This window comes from Homo sapiens, chromosome 1 (assembly GCF_000001405.40).
Source record: "Homo sapiens chromosome 1, GRCh38.p14 Primary Assembly".
In the NCBI taxonomy this organism is placed as follows: Eukaryota; Metazoa; Chordata; class Mammalia; order Primates; family Hominidae; genus Homo; species Homo sapiens.
This window is the reverse complement of record NC_000001.11, coordinates 46,168,054-46,175,044: the sequence shown is the minus strand read 5'-3', so window position 1 is coordinate 46,175,044 and position 6,991 is coordinate 46,168,054. Positions and strand designations below refer to the sequence as shown.

Genomic DNA, 6,991 nt, shown 5'->3' with positions numbered 1-6,991 from the left:
GCCTTTGTGATTTAATGTGCCTCTGTGACTGACTGTGAGTGTCAAGGAGCGTTTGTGAGGGTATGGGTGTGCCGGAGAGGACATCAGCCCTGGTAAGAAAAGTGAAGGTCAGGAGGGGGATGGGGAACAGCCTAAAGGAGGAGAACATGGAGAAGGGTGAGATTCTGAGAAAGGCATACTACCTTCGGCCCTTCAACCATTCTCTGAGGTCAGTGTTTTCCAGAACTGGCAGCTGAGCTGGGGTGCTTAGGGGTGGGGCAAGACTGAGTTTGAGCCCAGAAAGTAGGGAGGGTGCTAAGCTCTCTGGCCTGGGGATTTTCCATTTGGATTTCTGAGTGTGTGCTCATGTGTCACTGGCTGTAACCGGGTTTCTGTGGGGTTGTGTCTTAGTCGCTGGGAACATTTTGTAGGACTCTGTCTCGAATATGTTGCATCATGCATGGGCTAATACGTGTTGCACCGGTCCGAGATCTGGCTGCATTTCCAGGCTACCTTCCCAAGGGGCTAGGGAAGGGAGTGAACCCTGAGACCTTTGGTGGCCTGGCCCCCTGGGGTTCAGGAAGTGTGGCTAATGTCCTTTGCTGCCTGTGAAGGGAAAGTGAATTGTGCTTATGTCTATCTACCCCAACTCTTGCCAGAGACTGGGACCCTGAGGGGGGTTGAGGCAGAGAATTCACTGACACACCATGCCCAGACGGTGCTGGGCTCCTCAGGTTATGGGATGGGGGTTGCTGAACATCAGTCAAAGCTAGAAGGTGCTTGGGCCATGCTCAAGGGCCCAAGAGGGGCCATACATATAAAGATACATGACACAGTTCACAAACACATGCAGACATGTAAATATAAGTGAACTCATAGACACATACTGCAACAACCACACACATGCATGCAAGCACATACTATAAGCAGATATACGCAGACACAAATGCATAGATCCCCACACGATATATGTAACAACACATACGCATGCCTCTAAATGAACACAGACAGAAACATGCATGCACCCAGACACAAGCACACAAGCACCCAGATGCAGACACATGCCTTCACACTCATGCAAACCCAGGCACACACAGACATACACGCATGCAGACACACTCACCAGACTTCCCTGCCCCTGCGGCCCTGGGACCCAGAAGCCTCCCTCCCCTATATGAGTGTGTAGTATGTGTGTGTGCATGCACTCATGCCCACACTTGTGTCTGTGTGTATCTGTGTCTGTGAGAGTGTGTGTTTGTGCTCGAGTGTGTGTATGATGGGGGTGCTAAGCTGTGGGAACCAGATGACATCATCTCTTCCAGCTATTTTTAGCTGTATCTGCGATGATGGCTTCTTCACTGCCCCTCCCCCTTCAGGTTCCTAATTCTCCTCCCCATCTAGGCTCCCAGAGGCAGCAGCAGCCAGAGGGCACCCACCACCTCAGTTTAGGTGGCTCCCGGATGAGCGGGTGCAGCCCACTCTCTCCCACCCTGCCAGAGTTCCCTGGTGGCTGAGAACACCAGGCTCTCAGGCTGGAAGGGCCTGGGTTAGCTGAGCTGACCTAGATGGTCTCCACCCCTTAAGGTGCCTCTGCTTCTGCTTTTCAATCTGCAACTCTGTGTCAGTCAACAGTGCCTGCTATGTGCCAGGGATGGTACTAAATTCTGGAGATACAGCAGTGAGCAAGGCAGTGGGAGTTCTTTCCCAGAGGAATTATAGCTCAGTGAGAGGCACATTACACAGATTACACAAGCTCTTCATTAAATCGTGAGGAGGTCTCTGAGTACTTGTAACAGGGGCTCCGTTTGCGATGATGTTCTCTGCCTCTCTCTGTTCTTCCTTCTCCCATAGGTGAGATAACCTGAGGAAATCAGAGGGAATACAGCCCTTACCTTGCACCCTTCATCCTAACAACCATATCTCCAGAATTCCACAGAGCAGTGCTTCCTTCTCACACCCTAGGCTGTGCTCCCAACATGGCACTAACACACCATCCAACTAATTGGTGGCCCATGATACTCATATCTCCTTTTTCTTTGTTTGTTTGTTTCTTTTTTCTTTTCTTTTTTTTTTGAGACAGCGCCTGGCTCTGTTGCCCAGGATAGAGTGCAGTGGCGCAATCTTGTCTCACTGCAACCGTCTTCTCCCAGAGTCAAGTGATTCTCGTGCCTCAGCCTCCCTAGTAGCTGGGACTACAGGCATGTGCCACCATGCCTGGCTAATTTTTGTATTTTTAGTAGAGATGGGGTTTTGCCATGTGGGCTAGGCTGGTCTTGAACTCCTGGCCTAAAGTGATCCATCTACCTCAGTCTTCCAAAGTGCAGGGATTACAGGCATGAGCCACCTGGCTCAGCCCTTTCCCCTGCCTAGTTTTTAGGGACAGGGTCTCTCTCTGTCACTCATACTGGAGTGCAGTGACCTGACCTTAGCTCACTGCAGCCTCAGTCTCCTGGGCACAATCTATCCTCCCACCTCAGTCCCACAAGTAGCTGGTACTACAGGTGCAGGCCACCACGCCTAGATAATTAAAACATTTTTTTTGTAGAAACAGGTTCTCCCAGCTACTCAGGAGGCTGAGGCACGAGAATTACTTAAACCTGGGAAGTGGAGGTTGCAGCCAAGATCATGCCACTGCACTCCAGTTCTTGGGCTCAAGTGATCCTCCCGCCTCAGCCTCCCAAAATGTTGGGATTACAGACGTGAGCTACTGCTTGCCCCCTACCACCTCACTTTTCTTTGAAATCTTCCTGTAGTCAATCCCTGGGAGGCAGGCCACTATTCCTCATCTATAGATGAGAAAACCGAGGCTCAGAAATGGACAGCTCTGGACCACACCTCACAGTGCCTGGGGAGCAGCCCAGGGGAGATGGCAGGCAGGTGGAGAAGGAAGTGGTGGCACACTGGGACAGTTGGCACAGGTGCAGGAGGAGCAGGCCAGGCCAAGCCACCGAATCGGGAGGTGAGGGGGAGGAGGATGATGGCCTGAGGGTTCATGCCAGGAGGAGGGCTTCCCGCTCCAGCCAGCCTCAGGCAGCCACTGGAAAATCGGGTTTGGCAGCTTCAGCCATGTGCTGCAGGACTGGAAGAAGGTCCAGGCTGCTCCTGGGAGGCAGCCTAGCACGGGCTCTTCCTCTAGCCCTGAGTTTCACCACCTGGCTAGTTGGGGGAGTATTACTTTATAATTCTGGGACCCTTTGGACCGTGAAGAGAACAGCTCTGGGCTAGAGGCAGGAGCCCGGAGCTTCAGTCTTGGTTCTGCCCCAAGCCCTGATCTGATCCTTGGAGTGTCCTGGCCCCTCTCTTCGCCTCTGTGGCTCCGCTCTAGAGAAATAGGTTCCCCAGACCCCAACTCCTGCCCCCGAGATTTTCCTGGGAGTCTGACTCAGGCACAGGAACACAGAGTCAGTGGGTAAGGGCACGAACAGACAGCCCCTGGGGCGCCAGGCTGGAGGTCGCTTGTCACTAATAGGTCAATGGCCGGAAGCCCAGCTCCAACCCCACAATGCAATACCGGTCACCCCACCCTTACCAGTGCCCTCACCCACACCCCCACTTCCGGCCTCTGTTCCTTCCTCACCTCTGGGGAAGGCTGCAGGGCTCCCTAGGGAATGTCCCCTGGTTCCTCCACTGGCTCTCTGCCCAGTGCTTAACCCTTCTTCCCACACCTACCCATTCAGCCAGGGCAGTCTCCCACAAAACTTTCTCTCCCTGGACCATGGGGCAGTGCAAGGAGGACAGGAAGCTGGGTGGAAGGACTGCAAAGGAGACTGCTTTTCCTGCTACCCTCAGGTACTGAAGCCCAAGTAAGAGTTTTCAGTAGAGAGGGAGTAGACTGAGTGTTGGGCCCTAGGACTGGGCTTCCCTGGGTACTATCCCAACCCCTGAGCCTCGGGAGAGGTGGAAATGACCTTCCTCTGCACCGGCATGCCCAGAGAAGAGAGCCTGGAGCTGAGACTTGCAACTTCTAGAAAACAAACACAAAACTGAGGCCAAGAGAGTGCTGACTACTATTACCAACAAAATTCATTAAACACAATTTTAAAAAATCATGAAATTCTAGATTCATGGAGTTCACAGTTATGGAATCTTAGCATCACAGAATTCCAGCATGGTAAAATCTGGGTTATAGAAACTAAGAAATTCAGAATTGTGGCATTACTGAGTTCCAGATGACAAAATTAGAATATCCTTGAAATGGACATCTTGAGAAATCAATTAATAAAGCCCTTACATTCAGGTGGCTGTCTAAACTAGAGGATTTCCTGCTGGGGATAGGCAAAGGTGTCCACACATGAACACTGAGGGGAGGTAGGGAGCCTGGGACACATAAGCTTAAACCAGGCAGGGCCAGGCGCGGTGGCTCGCGCCTGTAATCCCAGCACTTTGGGAGGCTGAGGCTGGTGGATCACCTGAGGTCAGGAGTTTGAGACCAGCCTGGCCAATATGGTGAAGCCCCGTCTCTACTAAAAATACAAAAATTAGCCAGGCTTGGTGGCAGGTACCTGTAATCCCAGCTATTTGGGAGGCTGAGGCAAGAGAATCGCTTGAACCTGGGAGGCAGAGGTTGCAGTGAGCCGAGATCATGCCATTGCACTCCAGCCTGGGGGACGAGAGCTAGACTTTGTCTCAAAACAAACAAACAAACAAACAAACACCAAACCAGACAGAAGACAGACTTTGTCCATGAGAACACATTTCTGGTTCCTGAAGATGAGGGGCAGGGGGCAGCAGGTGGGGATAGAGAAAGCAGAATTATACAAACAAAGAAAACATAACCTAAAGAAAGAATCATCAAGTAGCATAATATGCTGACCCCAGCATCTCCAGCTTCCCCATAACTGCAGTTACCATCAGCCCAGGACATTTCCTTCCAAAGGTTAGTAAGACTTCTTATCATATTGGAATGGCTATCTTTTTTGGGAAGAAAGGTACCGAACAGAAAATACTCCATGCTTTTCTCGGGGTGGCTGGGAGGAATAGACTGTCTTCAAAGGTGCTAAGCCCTGAGCCACATGATGCACACCGAAGCCACTCCATGTGGTGGGGTTCAGAGCTCCCAGCAAGGCCCTGATAGAGGACCCTGTGGAGAGCACCTGGGTGGGGTTGTGCCTAGGGGGGCTGATCATCTCTATAGAAGGAGCCAATCTTGAGGCAAAATTTGTATGGGGACCCTTGTCCAATCTTTGGGGCTGGTTATTCAGCAAACAACAAAGGTATTTACCTAGCACTTCTGGGAAACTACTGCAAACTCAGGAACCCAGAAGGAGCAGTTCCAAAGACAGGCAAATGCCAGGCCCTGCTGGGCATGGGAAATGGGGCAATGTCAGCTGAAGGTCTTCTTGCTCAGCTGTCTGTCCTTGGATTCAGCTCAATACCTCAGCCCTGACCTCTACTCACACGCCCATTTGCCTCCCTCTCCTTGCTTGCCTGCTGTTCTACCTACTTATACCTGCTGTGTGAACTTTGGCAAGTTCTATCCCATCTCTGGGCCTCAAATCTCCTTTGCTGTCTTTTGAAGTCTAAAATTGTGTTTAAGTGCAGCTTTTAGGATTGTATATTCCTGCTTTTGTCCAGAGAAGTTTTAGCTTCAGGTATCTCCATTCCCAGCTTCCAGAAAAAGTATCAGGCAGCTTCAGGGGAGAATGCAGGGAATAGGGAATAAAAATAATGCCCACATTTGACATCCTAAATGTGTCAATGCCTATGATGGGTGTTTTCATAAATCTTACGCCCACAACCACCACTCTTTGTGTATAAATCATTGCTCCCATTTTATAGATGAAGGAACAGAGGTCCAGGGAGGGTAGATAAGATGCCTAAGATCATCCAGCTAGGGAGTAACAGAACTGGAATCTCAACTAAGTCTGTCTAAATCTGAGGGCTGTGGTTTCAGATTAGCATTACTCCATGAGGCTTCAATAGGTAAAATGTAAGTCCATGGATGAGAGTTTCAGGAAGAAGTGGTCCATGCAGCCCTGAGAGGCAGTGAGTTCCATTCGTAAGTGCAATAGGGGCTGACAGCTTTTTGTGCTGTGAAAAAAGCTGAACCAAGGTTCCTTCTATTTGGGAACTCTGGGTAGTCTCAGCTCAGATTGGAGATAGCTGGGCTGAACTGGGGGTGAGGAGGTTGGAGTGGAGAGTGGAATGGTCCTGAACTGGTCTTCAGGGAGTTGAGGGGCTATGCCACTGTTCCTGGAGATAGTGTGTGTGTGTTGAGGAGGGGGTGTAAAGGGGGCTTCTTCACTTTCTGGGATGTGCCAGTTCACCCTCCCCACCATCCCCAGCTGGAGCTAGTTGTCAGGCCTCCAGAGCCAGGGGCAGGGGGACTTTCCAGCTGGGATAGCATCATGATGTGTTGACACCAGATTCACTGCCTTGAGGTTCCCAGCAATCTTGCACAATTGCCTCAGTTAACTGATCCAAGGGAGGTGGGAGGATTTCAGATCCCCTGATTCCAGCCCGGCTCTGCCCTGCCCAAGGTTGGGTTATGATAAGGAGGCTGGGTAATCCAGCCACTGGCTGATAGGGTCACTGGCTCATAGGGTCAGGGCTGGAGGCAGCCCTGGGGGTCATCTCATTTAGCTCCCTCACTGGAAGGGTGAAGGAGTCTGAGGTCCAGAGAGGGAACAGGCCCTTCCAAGGGTCACACAGAACCACTGCTGTCCCCAACACTCCCCTTGGCACCAAGGACACAGAACTGAATCAGTCGTGGTCCTTGTTCTTGAGAGCTTGCACCCTAATGGAGAAAACAGACTAGCAGACACACCAAGAAAAATGTCAGGGCTAAAAGAGAGGCTTGGACTTAGTATACTAAGAGCTTAGAGAAGTAGGGACACAGACCTCCTAGAGGCTCCACAGAAGATAGCATAGGTATTTTTTTTTAAATTTAATTTAATTTAATTAATTTATTTTTTTGAGATGGAGTCTCGCTCTGTCGCCCTGGTTGGAGTGCAGTGGTGTGATCTAGGCTCACTGCAACTTCCGCCTCCCAGATTCAAGTGCATGCGTCAGC

The 6,991-nt window shown here is 50.9% G+C and overlaps 2 protein-coding genes across 2 annotated transcripts in view; both read left to right on the top strand.

The window, feature by feature from the left end:
- The window catches only part of P3R3URF-PIK3R3 (P3R3URF-PIK3R3 readthrough), a 136,349-nt gene that overhangs the window by 1,444 nt on the left and 127,914 nt on the right, over positions 1-6,991 (top strand). The gene's annotated exons all lie outside the window — the stretch shown is intronic.
- PIK3R3 (phosphoinositide-3-kinase regulatory subunit 3) overlaps positions 144-6,991 on the top strand; it is a 134,762-nt gene continuing 127,914 nt past the window's right edge. Inside the window, exon 1 of the mRNA NM_001328648.1 lies at positions 144-208. The gene's annotated coding sequence lies outside the window, so the exon portion shown is untranslated. The remainder of the gene's footprint in view (positions 209-6,991) is intronic.